Genomic DNA, 20,757 nt, shown 5'->3' on the forward strand with positions numbered 1-20,757 from the left:
AGGAGTTCGAGACCAGCCTGGCCATCATGGTGAAACCCTGTCTCTATTGAAAATACAAAAATTAGCCAGGCGTGGTGGCACACACCTATAATCTCAGCTACTCGGGAGGCTGAGACGAGAATCATTTGAACCCGGGAGGCGGAGGTTGCAGTGAACTGAGATCATGCCACTGCACTCCAGCCTGGGTGACAGAGTGAGACTCTTGTCTCAAAAGCAAAACAAAACAAAAAATAAGATAGAAATATTTTATATCTTAAACAATTATACCTTTATGTTCGGGTAAACACCTTTTTCATGATTTTAAGTTATTATTTTCCCTTAGTTTTTTTTTTTTTTTTTTTTTTATAGACAGAATTCACTCTTGCTGCCTAGGCTGGAGTGCCAATGGCCCAATCTTGGCTTACTGCAACCTCCATCTCCCAGGTTCAAGCAATTCTCCTGTCTCAGCCTCCTGAGTAGCTGGAATTACAGACATGCACCACCACGTTTGGCTAATTTTGTATTTTTAGTAGAGATGGAGTTTCTCCATGTTGGTCAGGCTGGTCTCGAACTCCCGACCTCAGGTGATTCGCCCATCTTGGCCTCCCAAAGTGCTGGGATTACATGCATGAGGCACCACACCCGGCCTTCCCTTAGTACCTTTTTGGATAATTAGGTTGGACTCTGAAGGAGTAAGTTTGGTAGCAGGAAGATTGCACAGGCTTATGTGTACAGTGTAGCTTGTTTTGTGAGATCAAGAGAAAAAGCTGCATGTGTCTATGGACATAGCTCGACATATTTAGGTTTCATTATATGCACATAAACATTGGCTTAACACAAATGATCTGCATTTCTGGTTTAAACTGATATTTGTGCTTATTAATTTTTTTGCATATTAAGAGATTGTCATGACTTAGTTTTTCTATTGATTTAATTTATGCTGTCAGAATTTATTGTAACACTATATCAACTGTAGAAGTAAACATTTAAAAAGTTTAATGCAGTAGGATTGCATTGAATGATTGTTATAGATCAGAATAAAGGAAATTTCTAAACTATGATTTAGTAGGTTGAATGTTGCTTTTATATTTATTCAATATTTATTCAAGACATATATTGACCACCTATTACATGGTAGGCCCCTTACTCCTTACTGAGTATTCAACTTATATTTAATAACAAAGGAAATAATATTGAGAATATAGGCAAAATTTTATCTTTCAAATTAAAGAAGTGCTGTTATCCATGGAATAGTTTCTCCATTTGTTTCAGGGATTCAGCTTATAAACAAAAGCCAAAGTAAGGAAATAATATCTAGAATGTGGAATAAATTACATATTTAAAATAAAGAAATGTAGGCTGGGTGTGGTGGGTCATGCCTGTAATCCCAGCACTTTGGGAGGCTGAGGCAGGCGGATAACTTGAACCCAGGAGTTCAAGACCAGCCTGGGCAACATAGTGAGACCCTGTCTCTCCAAAAAATACAAAAATTAGCTGGGTGTGGTGGTGCTCACCTGTTGTCCCAGCTACTTGGGATACTGAGGCAGGAGGATTGCTTGAGCCTGGGAAGCCGAGGTTACAGTGAGCTGAGATTGTGCCACTGCACTTCAGCCTGGGTGACACAGTAAGACCCTGTCTTTAAAAAAAAAAAAAAAAAAAAGTTATTACTCAATGGATAGTTTGCCATTCAATTTAAAAATCACCTTTGAATGAAACAAATATAAAACCAATTATAGAGACATAACAAGAATTATTCTATTTTTGTACTTAAGGAATGGAATCACTATTCTTTTTATTTTTATTTTTTGAGATGGAGTCACACTCTGTTACCCAGGCCTGGAGTGCAGTGGCGGGATCTCAGCTCACTGCAACCTCCGCCTTCCGGGTTCATGCGATTCTCCTGCCTCAGCCTCCCAAGTAGCTGGGACTACAGGCGCCTGCCACCACGCCCAGCTAATTTTTGTATTTTTAGTAGAGACAGGGTTTCACCATATTGGCCAGGCTGGTCTCGATCTCCTGACCTTGTGATTCACCCGCCTCGGCCTCCCAAAGTGGTGGGATTACAGGCGTGAGCCACTGCACCTGGCTCTTTAATTATTCAATTTATTATTATTATTGTTTTTAAGAGACAGAGTCTCACTCGGTCACCCAGTCTGGAGTGCATTGGCGTGATCATAACTCACTGCAGCCTCAAACTCCTCAAACAAGCAGTCTTCCTGTTTTATTCCTAAGTAGTTAATGCTATAGGTGTGCACCATGATGCCTGGCTTATTTTTAAAAAAATTTTGTAGAGACAGGGTGTTACTGTGTTGCACAGATTGGTCTCAAACTCAAGTGCCTCAAACTCAAACTGCCTGAGCCTCCCAAAGCACTGGGATTACTTGAGCTACTCTTTTTAAATATGAAAATTGGAAAATCAAAACCGAACATACCTTTAAGTTTAAAACTCTTTTATTTGAGGATAATTTTAAACTTAAAGCAAGGTTGCAAGAAAATAGTACAAAGAGTTTTTACGTTTATCTCCCCCCCGGGTCAGGATTCACCTAGTGTCAACTCCCTTCCTCATCCTTGCTCTGCCTGTCCCCATTCCCAGGTTTATTCACTCACTCATTATATATGCAATTTTTCTTAACCATCTGAGGATAATTTGCATATGTAATAGCCTGTTACCCCAAATATTATACTAAGAATATTGGTCTCTTAAATAACCGTCGTTCATTTATCAACTTAAGTGTATTAATATTGACAACATACTTTTATGTCTATTGTCCATATTCTAATTTTGTCAGTTGATCCAATAATATTCTTTATAGCATTTTCTTACCCTCTAGCACAGGATTCAGTCTAGGATCAAATATTGCATTTAGTTGTCATTTTCTTATAGCTTCCTTTAAAATCTGGACTGTTTACAGACTTTCTTTGTCTTTTGTGACATTGACACGTTTGAAAATACAATACCCCTGAGATTGTGTGATCTGACTGTGCCACTACTAATAATAGTGAGCCACTACTAATAAAGGTTATTTTAAGTCTTTTTCTGTCCTTCATTTAAACTTGTCATGGGGAAAAAACAAATACTTAAATCATCTCAGCTTTTTAGCCTTTCCATTTTACAACCAAAGTTATAGAATGAATTTTCTTGGTAATTTAATACATATTTAGTGCATCTGTAAAGACAATGTTGCAATCTAGATTTTCTGATTTATATTATGATCATGTGATTTTTTAAATTTTTATTTTTTTTGTTTTTTTGCTTTTGATTTTTTTTTTAAAGCTACACATTTGAAGTTTGATCAGCATCTTGAGTGAATTTTTTCATTTTTATAAATCTGTCTTCCTTCCTGGTAGCATTCTGCCACCTAGTGGAAATTTATGTCCTCCAGCATACGTCTCAGAGTTTAGTTGGAATGCAAGATGCATTTTAATATATAAAAATTAGTTTAGAATCGTTGAACTTCTTTGGTTGACATGTAATTCTTTACAACAGTGATCGTCTTGTTTTAAACAAGAGTTTAGTACAGATAAAATTCTTAGCAAATGAGGGCTTAGTAGATGTCTTAAATCATCTTTCTCAACAAGAAGTACTCTACATTTATCTTCTTCATCAATGAAATTTTAACCAAAGCATACTATTTTTCCATCAGTCAAATTTTTTTTTTTTTTTTTGAGACGGAGTCTAGCTCTTGTCACCCAGGCTGGAGTGCAGTGGTGCCATCTCGGCTCACTGCAACGTCTACCCCTCGGTTCAAGTGATTCTCCTGCCTCAGCCTCCCAAATAACTAGGATTACAGGCACCTGCCACCATGGCTGGCTAATTTTTTATTTTTAGTAGAGACGGGGTTTCACCATGTTGGCCAGACGGGATTTCACCATGTTGGTCAGGCTGGTCTCAAACTCCTGACCTCAGGTGATCCACCTGCCTCGACCTCCCAAAGTGCTGGGACTACAGGCATGAGCTACCGCACCCTGCAAGATACACATTTTTAGTAGGACTTGAGGAACATTTCTGTCTTGGAGTACATACGTTCTGCATAATTCATATTAGAATATGAAATCTGAGGTTGTCTTCAGTATAGTCATTTATGAAAAAGAATATTGAGAATTATCTGTTTAGAGAAAGTAGTTCTGAATTAAAAGTTGCAGTCATTCAGTCATATAACACCTTCATAGAGTCATGTATATTTTTTAATGTACTTATCTTATTTCTCATTATTCTCTCTTAGTTGCTGATGTATATTCAAGATGAGTGGATTAGGAGAAAACTTGGATCCACTGGCCAGTGATTCACGAAAACGCAAATTGCCATGTGATACTCCAGGACAAGGGTAGGTGACTTATTTCCTGGTGCTTTACCACACTTGTTGTGCCTTTGTTTAAGGATAACATTTTAACTTCTTGCCATTTACATTCTCTGGTTAGATTTTTTGGTGGTTTCACTTCGTGGTAAGTAGAGTGTTACTGATGAGATGGACATCTTTTTGATGTAATAGAAGTTTTTTTTTTATTGCTGATTCATATAGAAGGTAGAATATTAACAATTCGCGGTACTATAAGAATTTCTGAATGGAAGGAGGGGTAGGAGTTACGAATAGATGACCAAGGTTATGTCACGTGCGTCCGTGTGAAGAGACCACCAGACTTTGTGTGAGCAACAAGGCTGTTTATTTCACCTGGGTACAGGCAGGCTGAGTCCAAAAAGAGAGTCAGCAAAGGGTGGTGGGATTATCATTAGTTCTTATAGGTTTTGGGATAGGCAGTGAGTTAGGAGCAATGTTTTGCGGGCGGGGTTAGATCTCACAAAGTACATTCTCAAGGGTAGGGAGAATTACAAAGAACCTTCTTAAGGGTGGGGGAGATTACAAAGTACATTGATCAAGTTAGGGTGGGGCAGAAACATCACAATGGTGGAATGTCATCAGTTAAGGCTATTTTCACTTCTTTTGTGGATCTTCAGTTGCTTCAGACCATCTGGATGTATATGTGCAGGCTTGGTCTCAGAGGCCTGACAGTTATAAGTAAGAATCTTTGCTATCTTTTAAGAATGGGTTATAAGTTGATATTTTGTCATTTGTGAGGTTGCATCCTTTTTTTTACCAAGTGAAATGAGAAGCTTAAAAATTAGAAACAAAATAATGTAATCTATATAACACTACTCTATAGCTTTTAAAGTATTTGCCAAAGTCAGTGTCAATTGAAGTTTAATGTGCTAGTTGAAAAATATCAATCTACAATGAATAAAACTTCATCATTAATAAGTAGCTACCACTGTTTTTGTTCTTATTTGTTAGTTGTTTTATTATCTCTAAGAAGTAAAGATGATTTATTCGTATTTTCTAGATGAAGTAACTGAGGCTAACTCTGCCCAAGGCCACCTAGCTAACAAAGATGGAACTGAATTTAGGTTTACATGAATCTCTATTATGTTGTACTACTTCTCCAAGACAGCATTTTTGATAGTTTATATTGGCTGAGTTTAGTTTGTTTACATATGAAAATAATAGGCCGGGTGTGGTGGCTCATGCCTGTAATCCCAGCACTCTGGGAGGCCAGGGTGGGTGGATTACCTGAGGTCAGGAGTTCAAGACCAGCCTGACCAACATGGTGAAACATCGTCTCAACTAAAAATGCAAAAATAAGCCAGGCGTGGTGGCGCATGCCTGTAATCCCAGCTACTGGGGAGGCTGAGTCAGGAGAATTGCCTGAATCCTGGAGGTGGAGGTTGCATTGAGCCAAAGTCGCACCGTTGTACTCCAGCCTGGGCAACAAGAGCGAAAACTCTGTCTCGAGGAAAAAAAAAAAAAAGTAATCATGTAATAGTGTTGTATAGGGGCTGATTCTGCTAACAGCTCTTTTGTGATATATATATTATGTCTCCTTTCCCCCCTTTCTACGCCTTTTCCCTTAGTCTTACCTGCAGTGGTGAAAAACGGAGACGGGAGCAGGAAAGTAAATATATTGAAGAATTGGCTGAGCTGATATCTGCCAATCTTAGTGATATTGACAATTTCAATGTCAAACCAGATAAATGTGCGATTTTAAAGGAAACAGTAAGACAGATACGTCAAATAAAAGAGCAAGGTAATAAAAACACTCATGTCTTTTTGAACAGTGGTGGTTCCCAACCTTTTTGGCACCAGGGACTGGTTTTGTGGAAGCCAGTTTTTCCATGGACCTGGTAGAGGGGATGGTTTCAGGATGATTCAAGCACATTACGTTTGTGGTGCATTTTATTTCTATTATGGTTACATTGTAACATATAATGAAATAATTATACAACTCACCATAATATAGAAATCAGTAGGAGCCCTGAGCTTGTTTTCCTGCAGCTAGATGGATCCATCTGGGGGTAATGGGAGAAACTGTGACAGATCATTAGGCATTAGAGAATCATAAGGAGCACACAACCTAGATTCCTCGCATGTGGAGTTCACATTAAGATTTGCACACCTGTGAGAATCTAATGCTACTTCTGAGCTGACAGGATGTAGAACTCAGGTGGTAATGTGAGTGATGGGGAGGGGCTGTTGTTAATACAGATGAAACTTTGCTCACTTGCCCACTGCTGACCTCCTGCTGTGCAGCCCCATTCCTAACAGGCCACAGACTGATACTTGTCTGTGGTCTGGGGGTTGGGGACCCCTGTTTTAGAAGGAACTTGTTGCTATATTTGCCTTTTTGCTCCTTTGTTTGGGTAGAGACTACAACTGATGGAGGCTAGCAAGTATGGGAATAGACAAATGTGTTGACCAGCTGTGCTTTTTGTTATTTATGTATTTATTTATTTTGAGATGGTGTCTCGCTTTGTCTCTCGGGCTGGAGTGCAGTGGTGTGATCTCAGCTCACCACAACCTCCACCTCTTGGGTTCAAGAGATTCTCCTGCCTCAGCCTCCCGAGTAGCTAGGATTACAGGCACCTGCCACCACGCCCAGCTAAGTTTTGTATTTTTAGTAGAGATGGGGTTTTGCCATGTTGGCCAGGCTGGTCTCAAACTCCTGACCTCAGGTGATCCACCCGCCTCAGCCTCCCAGAGTGCTGGGATTACAGGTGTGAGCCACCGCGCTGGGCCTCCAGCTTATGCTCTTTAGAGACGGTTAACAGACAATTGCCTGTTATTTGGTAGTTCCTTTTCAGGAAGCTGTGGGATAGTACATTTAGTAGTGAAATGATTTAGGTATCTTCTGGCTTCCTGGGCAACTATGAAGTTTAGTTTTGATGTTATAATATTGTAGCATCATTCTCTTATGAGGAAATGTTTTGTATGTATGTATGGGCATGTGCATGTGTATCTTTATGTCTCTTCTGGGGACTATTCGAAGGTGATTTAATCTATAACTGATAGTGTGTTATTCGTTATACCACCTTCTGTCTTTTCAGGAAAAACTATTTCCAATGATGATGATGTTCAAAAAGCCGATGTATCTTCTACAGGGCAGGGAGTTATTGATAAAGACTCCTTAGGACCGCTTTTACTTCAGGCAAGTATAAAGATTTTAACTGTCCAGTAGGCTGTATTGCCCTTTGGTTTATTATAAAGTTATAAAAAATCGATGAAATTTTGGTTAGGAAATGAGAACAAAAAGAAAACATTTTTTTCTTTGAGACAGTTCAGTATTCTGAATATGATGGTAAAATGCTCTTATAATTACAATATACATAATTCAGGAAGCCTTGCCCCCCTAGTAAAAATATAGTTGCAAACTGAGGAACCACACATATACAAACATAAAAATATAAGCAAGCAGGAAAGGAAAGGTAGCCTGTAATTTCACAGAGATATTTGGGTACAAATGGCCCTTCATATCCATGGGTTTTGCACCACAGATTTGGAGGCTGAGGAAGAAATAAAAAATAATGTTAAAACAATAAAAAACACCTCAGTGTGATGACTATATAGCACTTACATTGTATTAGGTATTATAACTAATCTAGAGATGATTTAAAGTATATTGGAATATATGCATAGGCTATAGGCAAATACACCATTTTATATTGGAGACTTGAGCATCCTCAGATTTTGCTATCTTTGGGAGGTCTTGGAACCAACCTTACACAGATACTGGGGTATGATGACTGTACGTTTCGGCTCAGACATTTTTGGTGAATTTTTGCGTGATTGATCACATGGCACGCTATGGTTTTATATTCTTGAGGAATTGTTAAGACTTAAACATGTGCTTTGTATTTGTTTAGGGGCTGAAGCCCTTCATAAAGTTAACTTGTCAACTTCTTTTTGTTTCAGGTAGTTTGTTCCAACTACTTTTAGTTGATCAGTTTTGAAATTCCTCTTTGTAAATTCTCATTAAGGAATAGTAGAGCAGTTTCTGTAGCTTGACTTGGCATCAAATGGAAAAATGGGAAGAGCTAAGGATGCTTTTCTCATTTTTAAAAGCTCCTTTAAAGATATAATTCTTTAAAAATTAGGTTAGACATTAATTCAGATTTCATGCTGAACATATTTATGTACACACTCCCCCACCCCCAATTATTCTTCTTTTTTTTTCCCCCCAGTAAGGCCTGTAGTAATGGTGCTAATGTTAGTAGTAATGGTGGCTTATAGTTGTTTGCAGTAATTAAGTCAGCAGTAGTTTTTACACATTCTACTTACTACTGTGGTTGCTGTTTGCTGATACTACCATAACAAAATACCACAGACTTGGTAGGTGAAACCAAATAAATTTATTTCTTACAGTGTTGGTGGCTGGAAGTCCAGGATCAAGGTGTCAGCAGGATTGGCTTCTCCTTGGCTTGTCACTGTGTTCTCCCATGGCCTTTTTCTCTGCGTGCACATTCCTGGTGTCTTTCTCTCCCCTTATAGGATACCAGTCATATTGGATTAGGGTCCCCACCGTTATGACCTCATTTATCTTTAATTACCTCCTTGAAGGTCTTGTTTCCAAATACAGTTACACTGATGGTTAGAGTTTCAATTTAAGAATTAGAGGGAGGAGGATACAATTCAGTCCATAACAGCCTGTATTAACATATCCTATTTTAGGCATTGGATGGTTTCCTATTTGTGGTGAATCGAGACGGAAACATTGTATTTGTATCAGAAAATGTCACACAATACCTGCAATATAAGCAAGAGGACCTGGTTAACACAAGTGTTTACAATATCTTACATGAAGAAGACAGAAAGGATTTTCTTAAGAATTTACCAAAATCTACAGGTAGGCTTTTAATGTGTATTTTCTAAATAGGTTAAATTTTTTTCCTTGACCATTTCTTAGAAAATTGAATGTATCTTTTAGGAAGTCAAGCGATCAAATGAGGGTAGAAAGGCATGTGATTTAATAGCAGAATTTTCACATATGGAGTCAGTGAATTAAAAATTTGGTATACATTTTAAGAGGCATATAGTTACAAAATATGCAGTGAGATTTCTGTTAAAGTTGAAATTATTCACATGTTTTGTATATTGCCAGCCTGAAATGTTAGTATAGATATAACTATGGAAAACATGCATAATGAGAAAATGCAGCTTGAATTCTTGATGATGGTCATAGAATGAGTTACCAGCTTTTTAAAATGTCATTTCAATTTGTTTTCCAAAGTTAATGGAGTTTCCTGGACAAATGAGACCCAAAGACAAAAAAGCCATACATTTAATTGCCGTATGTTGATGAAAACACCACATGATATTCTGGAAGACATAAACGCCAGTCCTGAAATGCGCCAGAGATATGAAACAATGCAGTGCTTTGCCCTGTCTCAGCCACGAGCTATGATGGAGGAAGGGGAAGGTAAGAGCTATTATATGTTTGTGATGTTCATGAAACAAATAGTGGCCATACTTGGAGTTTTGAAACTTGTGTTGTAACCCTTCTTACTGAATTCCATGTCTTTGCTTGCCTATTGAACATATATATCCAAAAGTTAAGTATAATCCTTACCAGGGTGAATTTTTTATTGTAGATTTGCAATCTTGTATGATCTGTGTGGCACGCCGCATTACTACAGGAGAAAGAACATTTCCATCAAACCCTGAGAGCTTTATTACCAGACATGATCTTTCAGGTAAAAACTCTTTTTTTGTCTCTCTCTCTCTCTGTGTATACGTACATTTTTATTTTGGAAATTTTTGTAAATGTTACTATTTTTAATCTGTACTATCATAGAAATGTATACCTACTGTAATGAGTGCTTTATGTGTATCTTTTTTCATGTTGCTTATGCAACCTTAAAAGAATTTCACTAAAATTCTTGGCATTTGAATTGGGTATGTTTGGCATTTTAAATCCCCCAGATAAATTAAAAAAAAAATTTAGGGGCACCTGGTTTTCTCTCCAAATTGCATTTTGCGTCAGAATTTAGTATTTCTTTAACTTCAAGCCCATTTGTCATAAAGAAACATGTTTTAAAAAATTATAAGTAATTTAATGAGAATTATTGGGAGTAATTCCTTTTTTTTTTTTTTTTTGTTGAGACGGAGTCTTGCTCTGTTGCCCAGGCTGGAGTGCAATGGTGCGATCTCGGCTCACTGCAACCTCCACTTCTTGGGTTCAAGTGATTTTCCTGCCATGGCCTCCCAAACAGTTTGGACTACAGGCACGTGCCACCATGCCCGGCTAATTTTTGTATTTTTAGTAGAGATGGGGTTTCACCATGTTGTCCAGGCTGGTCTCGAACTCTTGACCTCAAGTGAGTCGCCTGCCTCAGCCTCCCAAAATGCTGGGATTACAGTTGTGAGCCACTGTGCTTGGCCGGGAGTAATTCTTGACGTCAACCTGAGTTTCAATCTTGGTCTGCCATTTTTTAATCATAGAAATAAAAAATTAAAGACATCGTGGTTGATAAGATGCATTAATGAAATTAAACACTGTGGCAATATTATTTTTATTTACCTTCAGGGTTACTCTTATGGTCACCTAAGTGTAAATGGGGATGCCAAGGGTTTGTCATATATGCCCCATCTCAGAGATAAAGAAACAGAAGCTTGGTGACAGAGATTGGGTTATTGTCCAAGATCATGGCTAATAAGAAAATTTATAGCTGAGTCTGCCTGACTTAGCCTGTATTCTTTGCTTTGTGTAACACTAATTTTACAATGTGGACTTTTAACAAGTGATATAAAAATGGAGTAGGTATACATAAAACATAGCTATCACTATTACATATGTATGTGTGTGTTTGTAATATGTATATATAATATACATAATGCAGAATATTTTTAAAGAAATATTGCTATTTTTGCAGTCATTCAATCATTTTATGCCATCAGTAACCTATCTTCAGGATTTTTGAGATTAATTTTCACAATTAAAAGTAGCAAAGGATTATTTTGACAATTCACAGTATAATCTTGTTTACGCTGATGGATGTTACTTTTTTTTTTTTTTGAGACGGAGTTTTGCTCTGTCGTGCCCAGGCTGGAGTGCAATGGCATGATCTCAGCTCACTGCAACCTCTGCCTCCTGGGTTCAAGTGATTCTCCTGCCTCAGCCTCCCGAGTAGCTGAAATTACAGGCGCCCATCACCACGCCTGGCTAATTTTTTACATTTTTAGTAGAGACAGGGTTTCACAATGTTGGTCAGGCTGGTCTCAAAGTCCTGACCTCAGGTAATCCGCCTGCCTCGGCCTCCCAAAGTGTTGGGATTACAGGCATGAGCCACCATGCCCGGCTGTATGTTACTTTATATTTGAACATTTTCTCTGTATTAACTCCCCTCAGATAAACATAGTGACAGCAATTGTTATATATTATTTTATCCTTTTAGAGTGAGTCTTTCTCTGCACCTCTTATGATTTGGCAGTGTTAATTTTCTACTTGAATAGCCATGTTTTACATTTGCTACTGAAGATACTAAATAAAATATCTTTAAGCAATTTAGCAAGTAGCATCTTTGAAAATTATCTCATCAGTATATAAAAGTGATACATGTTTATTATAAAAGTTAGAAATTACCAAGCATGAAAGAAAACAGGACATGATGGAGAAAAAAATTGCCAAGCAAGAAAGATCAAATGCTTTGTGTGATTAACATCATTTAAAACTGAGATCCTACTTACTTTTGACCTCTGGGGATATTTTATCTTCTGTCCCTGATGTGTTTCATTTAATAAACTTTTTATGGACATCTGTTTTGTATTTGTCATGTGGCCCAGGGCTAAACTCAGGAGAGGTGGTTGAGGACAAATCATGTCTATTTTGGGCACGAGTGCACAGGTATTTACTCTTTCCCAGAATGCGTTTATCCCTTTTCCCTAGTCTCCCCCTGCTACTAATAAGATTTTTGGTCACCATTAAAATTCTGAATTTTAAACAGATTATTGGACTGGTGGTTTATTTCTGTCAGCTTATTCAATATTAGTGCCTTTTAAATCTCCAGTAGCTTTTGCAGAATTACCTTTCACTATGAAGCCCCATGAGTTTTCCCAAACCAAACTTGGTTTTCTTCAGTATGTTTTCTAATGAATATGTCATAGAAAGGATAAATATATGGGCAAGACTTTTTTTTTTTTTTTTTTTTTTTGAGACGGAGTCTCGCTCTGTTGCCCAGGCTGGAGTGCAGTGGCGAGATCTCGGCTCACTGCAACCTCTGCCTCCCGGGTTCAAACCATTCTCCTGCCTCAGCCTCCCGAGTTGCTGGGACTACAGGTATGTGCCACCACACTCAGCTAATTTTTTGTATTTTTAGTAGAGATGGGGTTTCACCATGTTAGCCAGGATGGTCTCGAACTCCTGACCTCATGATCCACCCACCTCGGCCTCCCAAAGTGTTGGGATTACAGGCACGAGCCACCGCGCCTGGCCTGGGCAAGCCTTTTCAATGTCTTTCCTAATTTGTCTGGAGTCAGTTTATTGCCCACTTCTTTCAAGTTATTTGTCTGTACCTTTTGGGTCACAACTTCCATCATCATTGGGATTTGGCATATCTGTTGGTGCTGAGCATAAGAGATTGCCCAAGTCTGATTATTGCATTTCTTAGTAAAACCTATACAAAACAGATAACTATTGGCAATCTTGACATCAGCAGGAGCTTCCTATGAAGTCTGCCATGTTTAACCATGGAGCATATTTTGTCACAGAAAAGATTACTGAGGATGTCCAGGTCAAAAACTGTGTGACCAGTTATTATGGCTTGGATCATTCTGTCTGCATTCAAAGACATAGAAAAGGCCTGAAAGCTGATCCAAGACCAGCCATGGAAGCTGGTCACATAGTTTTTGACCTGGATGTCCTCAGTAATTAGTCTGAATTTTCTAAGGGCAGTTTCATCATTATGCAGATCAGCAAGGTTCATTTCAAAAACACAGTTCTTGAGGCCATCAGATGCAGTTTTGGTTCCTTGAGCCCTTTTGACTAGTTTGTTACCAATTAAACACAGCTGGTGCTTTCACATCATATCAGTCTTTTTTAGGAAATGGATTAACCACTTTCTTCTTTGCTCCCATTCTGCCACTTTTTGTAAGGCACTTGCTTTTGCCAACCACCCTAGTGCTGCTTAGAGTGAAAAGGCCTAGACAGTTTTTAAGGACCATCTATTGTCATGAAACCTTCTTTAATTTCATAGTATTTTTGAGTATGTATATTTGGTGTCTCCATTGTATTTGATATTAAGCAAAAGTTGTCAGAAGCTTCCAGCATTGTAGAAATGAGTATTTGGTTAACCCTCCAAGTTTAGGTATTAAGTGTACAAAAATGTGATCATCTCTCAGATGCAAATAATTGTCCCTGCTGGCTTACTTTAAGTAGGTATTTTCTCTTGCTTATAGTTGTAGGGACAGAATCTCTTCGGACAAACAACTTTCCTCATAGGCGTTATTTTTTCCCTTTACACGAAAATGAACTTAAGGTTATCTGGACATGTATATTCAGTACATTCAGACAGTAAAAGGAGTTTGTGTGATATATATTCTGTACAGCATTTGGGAAAACACTGTTTTTCTACACTGCCACACCACTTCTGACCCCAGATGTATTTTTTTCTACACTAACCAGCGCTCTGTCTGACATAAGCTGGGTGCCCTACAATTTTAGTTTGGACAGTTTCTACCTGGGTTTAGCATTAGATCTTACAAGGTTAAGGGTTCAGTCCCACAAGACTGCCTGTACTTTACTTCAGATGCCAGTTGCAAGTCCTGGCCTTCTGTACTTCTGACTGACTGGCTATAAATTGGGCTTCTGATCCTCTCCTTAGGTTTGATGATTTGCTAGAATGGCTCAAGAAATCCGGAAATGCTTTACTCAGGTTTACTGGTTTCTTATGAAGGGTACAACTCAGGAATATCTCAATGGGAGAAATGTATAGGAGAAGGTATTAGGGGGTGGGGATGAGGTTTGGAGGTTCCATGCCCTCTCTGGGCTTATAGCCTTCCCAGCACCTTAATGTACTCATCCTTTGGAAGCTCATCAAATCTCTTGTTCAAGAGGTTTTTTTTTTTTTTTTTTTAATTGGAGATGGAGTCTTGCTCTGTTGCCTAGGCTGGAGTGCAGTGGCACGATCTCAGCTCACTGTAACCTCTGCCTCCCGGGTTCAAGCAATTCTCCTGCCTCAGCCTCCCAAGTAGCTGGGATTACAGGTACGCACCACCACGCCCAGCTAAGTTTTGTATTCTTAATAGAGATGGGGTTTCACCATGTTGACCAGGCTGGTCTCGAACTCTTGACCTTGTGATCTGCTTGCCTTGGCCTCCCAAAGTGCTGGGATTACAGATGTGAGCCACTGTTGCTGGCCCGAGTTTTTTTTTTTTGAGATGGAGTCTCATTCTATTGCCAGGCCGGAGTGCGGTGGCATGATCTCGGCTCACTGCAACCTCCGCCTGCCAGGTTCCAGCGATTCTCCTGCCTCACCCTCCCGAGTAGCTGGGACTACAGGCGCACACTCCCATGCCCAGCTAATTTTTGTATTTTTACTAGAGATGGGGTTTCACCATGTTGGCCAGGATGGTCTTGATATCTTGACCTCGTGATCTGCCTGCCTTGGCCTCCCAAAGTGTTGGGATTACAGGCGTGAGGCACCGTGCTAGGCCAAGAGTTTTTTATAGAATTTAATCACCAGGCTCTCCTTCCTCCCTCATGCCCCATTCCTGGAGGTTAGTAGATGGAACTACTAACAGAAAGTTCCAATCCTTTAATTACTTGGTCTTTCTGATTATCAGCTCCATCCTGAGGTGATCTAGAGACCCCACCCTAAGTCTCCTCATCAGCATAAATTGAGGTGTGTTCCAAAGGGGCTCTTTATGAATAACTTGAAAATACTTTTATTACTCAGGAAATTCTGAGGATTTTGGATAGGGGCTCTGTGCTAGAAATCTGACAAAGACCAAATGTATTATTATACTCCTTAGCAGAACATGTAGGGAGAATCCTGTGGTGCTATGTCTTAAGGAGAAAAGCTGTGGATATAGTAGAAATTTGGATCAGAGAAGGTGGAGCAAAGATTTAATATCTTTTATTTTATTCTCCAGTGCTAAGCCATGTGTAGGCAGCCAGTAAATACTTGTGGGCTGGATATAAGTCTTTTTTTCCTTTTTTTGTTTAATAGGAAAGGTTGTCAATATAGATACAAATTCACTGAGATCCTCCATGAGGCCTGGCTTTGAAGATATAATCCGAAGGTGTATTCAGAGATTTTTTAGTCTAAATGATGGGCAGTCATGGTCCCAGAAACGTCACTATCAAGAAGGTAAAGAATTTTGGGGTTGATTGTTCTTATCATTTTATTCTTTAGAGACAGGGCCTTGCTATCTTGCCCAGGCTGGACTCGAACTCCTGGATTTAATTGACCCTTCTGCCTCAGCTTCTGAGTAGCCAAGACTGCAGGTGCACACCACCATACCTGGTTTTGTGGTTGATTCTTGATCTTGTTTGTCATTATGTTTGGTATACACATGACTGTAGTTGCTCTCTTGTTGGTGAGGGGTAGGAAAATGATGCCTGAGTGTTCTTATTTTACCCTGTTGATGATTTTGGTGCAGATCCAGTCTTTCCTTGGATTTTTAGAAATGTACTTGAAGTATATTTCCTCCCTGTCCCCTCCTATATATATTTGTTTTGCTGACTGTAGTTACCAGTGATGGGATATTTTCCCCAACAGCTTATCTTAATGGCCATGCAGAAACCCCAGTATATCGATTCTCGTTGGCTGATGGAACTATAGTGACTGCACAGACAAAAAGCAAACTCTTCCGAAATCCTGTAACAAATGATCGACATGGCTTTGTCTCAACCCACTTCCTTCAGAGGTAATGATAGATTACTGTGTATTCTAATACAAAATGCAGCAGTGTTCTCAAAATGCTTTATTATTAAAGTAAAAAGGGAAGGGATAAAATGAGACAAAATTTAGGAAGGTTATTGGGTTTGATGAAATGAGTTTAGATTCCTGGATTATGATATGTTTAAGGTTGTATTTTTATGTGAAAGTGATTATTTATTAAATACTTTACAGGAAAGCTAGGTGATGGGAAGGCTAATGGGTGGATAAAAGAGCACATAAAATCTGATTACATGTCTTACCACTCATTTCTGATAATGTGTGTTGCTTTGGGGACTGCATTTAAAATTTGAGGGTAAACTTCAAGAATAAAGGTAGTTACTGTCTGGGTTGGTAGTGGCAAATAAGAAATGCATGAAGGGGAGGATATTCACCCATTAATTATCTTGAGTAATTTGCAGGTACCCCCAGGTGAAGCCCTAGATAATGTGGCAACTCTAATAAAGCCCACCTGAAACTCCAGTTAACATAGCTGTTGGTCTTTCATAATACTACAGTGGTCTCACTCATAGATTCTGTGGCTTACTGAAAAATATGTTACTAGGTAAATAATTGATCAATATGTAGATTGGAACTGTCACTAGGTATTGGAATGCTGCCTAAAAAGTTAAGTTCCTGGGTAGTTAATTCATCCCATTTTTTTATTCCCTCTCCTTCTCTCTCCCTTCTTCCTTTCTTCTTCTTCTCTTCTTCTTTTTTTTTTTTTTTTTTTTTAAACAGAGACAGAGTCTTGATCTGTCACCCAGGCAGGTGTGCAGTAGTGCCATCACAGCTCACTGCAACCTCGAACTCCTGGGCTCAGGCGATCCTCCCACCGCAGCCTCCTGAATAGCTAGGACTAGAGATGTGTGTCACTATGCCTGGCCAATTTTTAAATTTTTTGTAGAGACATGATCTTGCTGTGTTGCCCAGGTTGGTTTCAAACTCCTGAGCTCAAGTGATCCTCCTGCCTCAGCTTCCCAAAGTGCTGGGAATATAGGTGTTAGCCACTGTAGCTGGCTGGTTTTTTAAAATTTTATTTTATTTTAAATCTGATTAAAAGCTTTCATGCATGCTTAGAATTTTTTAGTAAAAGTTTGATGTTTGTTTTGCAGAGAACAGAATGGATATAGACCAAACCCAAATCCTGTTGGACAAGGGATTAGACCACCTATGGCTGGATGCAACAGTTCGGTAGGCGGCATGAGTATGTCGCCAAACCAAGGCTTACAGATGCCGAGCAGCAGGGCCTATGGCTTGGCAGACCCTAGCACCACAGGGCAGATGAGTGGAGCTAGGTATGGGGGTTCCAGTAACATAGCTTCATTGACCCCTGGGCCAGGCATGCAATCACCATCTTCCTACCAGAACAACAACTATGGGCTCAACATGAGTAGCCCCCCACATGGGAGTCCTGGTCTTGCCCCAAACCAGCAGAATATCATGATTTCTCCTCGTAATCGTGGGAGTCCAAAGATAGCCTCACATCAGTTTTCTCCTGTTGCAGGTATTTGTGTTGACATTTCCTTTTATTTTTTTTCTTTTTAAGTAATTATTCTTTCCATACTACTATAATTCTTGTAAAGTTAATCTATTTTATAATAGAAACTTTGAAGAATTAAGTTGTATTTTGTTACAGTGTCTGGTAGTCTAATTCTTTTCCTAAATTTTTTTTCAAATTCAGGTGTGCACTCTCCCATGGCATCTTCTGGCAATACTGGGAACCACAGCTTTTCCAGCAGCTCTCTCAGTGCCCTGCAAGCCATCAGTGAAGGTGTGGGGACTTCCCTTTTATCTACTCTGTCATCACCAGGCCCCAAATTGGATAACTCTCCCAATATGAATATTACCCAACCAAGTAAAGTAAGCAATCAGGATTCCAAGAGTCCTCTGGGCTTTTATTGCGACCAAAATCCAGTGGAGAGTTCAATGTGTCAGTCAAATAGCAGAGATCACCTCAGTGACAAAGAAAGTAAGGAGAGCAGTGTTGAGGGGGCAGAGAATCAAAGGGGTCCTTTGGAAAGCAAAGGTCATAAAAAATTACTGCAGTTACTTACCTGTTCTTCTGATGACCGGGGTCATTCCTCCTTGACCAACTCCCCCCTAGATTCAAGTTGTAAAGAATCTTCTGTTAGTGTCACCAGCCCCTCTGGAGTCTCCTCCTCTACATCTGGAGGAGTATCCTCTACATCCAATATGCATGGGTCACTGTTACAAGAGAAGCACCGGATTTTGCACAAGTTGCTGCAGAATGGGAATTCACCAGCTGAGGTAGCCAAGATTACTGCAGAAGCCACTGGGAAAGACACCAGCAGTATAACTTCTTGTGGGGACGGAAATGTTGTCAAGCAGGAGCAGCTAAGTCCTAAGAAGAAGGAGAATAATGCACTTCTTAGATACCTGCTGGACAGGGATGATCCTAGTGATGCACTCTCTAAAGAACTACAGCCCCAAGTGGAAGGAGTGGATAATAAAATGAGTCAGTGCACCAGCTCCACCATTCCTAGCTCAAGTCAAGAGAAAGACCCTAAAATTAAGACAGAGACAAGTGAAGAGGTAATTTGTTTTCTGTATATTTCAGCTCATATTTCATCATTTTTCGGTGTTAGATAATGTGATATAAAAATTCTTCCATTTTAGGTTTATTTAAAGAAAGTTAAATCTTTAGCTCTCATTTCTTTATAATTATTTTGGATGTCAGTAAAATTATGATGTAATTTAGAAATAACAGATGTGTATGTTTTAAGATGTGACTATAACTCTTTAGTAGCCAATATGAAATTTTTTCATGGAGGTGTTTATTGCTGGAATGGGCAGATTGGGTCATTAAGAGAATGGTAGAAGTAATCAGGAAAAAAAAAACTTGTATTAAGCAGCATAATTTTTATTTTAAGGTAAAATCAAGTTTCATGCACAAGATGACATTCTGTATAAGCATTTCCCAAACTTATAGGATATATTAATATGCACTTGAGAAAATGAAAGGCTTAAAGTTAGGATGTGGGCTTAACCTACTGTTCACCAAATTTATTGACCGAAGCCCTTTTTAGAGCATGCCTATGAACATCCCAGCTTGCTCCTTTTATTATTAATCACACTTATTTTCAGAAGGTTTGTGTAGATGCAGATATCTGTTAGCTAATTATCAATGCACTGCTAGTGACTGTTACCTGCAAAATATTCTACAGTTTGAGAATTAAATGTCTTGTGTAAATTTAAAAAATGCCCCTTTGAAAGGACCAAATGTAGTGATTTAATCTCAGAGGAGGAAGATTAGAGATGGGGGTCATAATAAACTGGCCTTTCAGGTGGGTATTATCATTGTAGGTAGTTTTTGTATTTTACTTGCTTCTATTTCATGTATCATTTTTTCTGATGGGTATGTTTATACCTGTGTGTCTGGTAATGTATACAGGTTAATTTTTAAAACTTTATTTTCAGGGATCTGGAGACTTGGATAATCTAGATGCTATTCTTGGTGATCTGACTAGTTCTGACTTTTACAATAATTCCATATCCTCAAATGGTAGTCATCTGGGGACTAAGCAACAGGTGTTTCAAGGAACTAATTCTCTGGGTAAGAATGAACTAGGTTTTTTTTTTTTTTGCTGCCTTTGAAACTTTTCTGCATACCTGTAAACACTCTTACACTAAGACCAGGATATAAATAGCATTTATAACTTCAGAACATATATTCTGCCTCTGTTTTCTATACTAATTTATATGTGCTTTAGAAAGCTTTTTGAACATTTTCCTGTTTTTTAAAAATTAAATAAATTTCCCACTTCTAACTAATATGCCAGTAATCATGGCACTTATAGAAAAATATTCATGTTTGATTATTCCAGGTGAGTACTGTAGGTACTAGGGCATATATTTTTCTTAGCCACAGAGAACTGGATTAAAAAGCAACTCAGACTCTAGATTAAAACCTGTCCATTGGTGTTTTAACAGAATCTTGTCATTTAATTAAGATAGTTTTCTTTGGTGTTTGCTGGTTCTTATCTAGCCCCTCTCCTGTTGCTGTGTGTTGACTTCATCAATTTAACAAAGGTAGGCCGGGCATGGTGGCTCACACCTGTGGTCCCAGCTACTCGGGAGGCTAAGGCATGAGAATCGCTTGAACCTGGGAGGCGAAGGTTGCAGTGAGCCAAGATTGCGCCACTGCACTCCAGCCTGGGTGACAGAGTGAGACTCCGTCTCAAACAAACAGACAGAAAAACAAAGATATATTGTGTGTGTCAATTGAAAAGGCAGCATGCACAATTATTCAGAATGGTCATTATTCAGTAGCATTATTTCCTAAACTAGAATGGATAGATCAATTAAGAGTGGGGGGGAAAAAAAGAAGGTTAGAAGGGGATTTTACATTTTATTTCTTTTCGATCAGAAGGCAACTTATCTGGTTAAGTTGATTGTTAAAATTATAAACAGTATACTTAAGTACAAATATGCAAGAACCTTCAGGAGCTTGGAACATTTGTGAATTTTTCAATATTAAGTGAAGCGCAGAGTATCAGTGACCATATCAGGCTACAGAAAAGTTCTCAGTACTTCAGCCGACATGGAGATTGTTG

The 20,757-nt window shown here is 38.8% G+C and overlaps 1 protein-coding gene and 1 pseudogene across 4 annotated transcripts in view; one reads left to right on the forward strand and one right to left on the reverse strand.

Moving 5' to 3' along the window:
- NCOA3 (nuclear receptor coactivator 3) overlaps positions 1-20,757 on the forward strand; it is a 154,986-nt gene that overhangs the window by 116,140 nt on the left and 18,089 nt on the right. For 3 of the 4 annotated variants that reach the window (NM_181659.3, NM_001174087.2, NM_006534.4), the window contains exons 3-13: positions 4,203-4,304; positions 5,885-6,057; positions 7,355-7,455; positions 8,976-9,150; positions 9,535-9,723; positions 9,896-9,997; positions 15,470-15,610; positions 16,022-16,169; positions 17,296-17,687; positions 17,865-18,736; positions 19,622-19,757. In NM_181659.3, the coding sequence (NP_858045.1) occupies positions 4,222-4,304; positions 5,885-6,057; positions 7,355-7,455; positions 8,976-9,150; positions 9,535-9,723; positions 9,896-9,997; positions 15,470-15,610; positions 16,022-16,169; positions 17,296-17,687; positions 17,865-18,736; positions 19,622-19,757 (2,512 nt within the window). In that variant the 5' untranslated portion in view covers positions 4,203-4,221. Of the gene's footprint in view, positions 1-4,202; positions 4,305-5,884; positions 6,058-7,354; positions 7,456-8,975; positions 9,151-9,534; positions 9,724-9,895; positions 9,998-15,469; positions 15,611-15,991; positions 16,170-17,295; positions 17,688-17,864; positions 18,737-19,621; positions 19,758-20,757 lie in introns of all 4 variants that reach the window. The other variant, NM_001174088.2, reaches the window with a different exon arrangement.
- Positions 12,739-13,412, reverse strand: LOC100419565 (ribosomal protein S3A pseudogene; annotated as a pseudogene).

The sequence above is a fragment of the Homo sapiens genome, chromosome 20 (genome assembly GCF_000001405.40).
Source record: "Homo sapiens chromosome 20, GRCh38.p14 Primary Assembly".
Classification (NCBI taxonomy): Eukaryota; Metazoa; Chordata; class Mammalia; order Primates; family Hominidae; genus Homo; species Homo sapiens.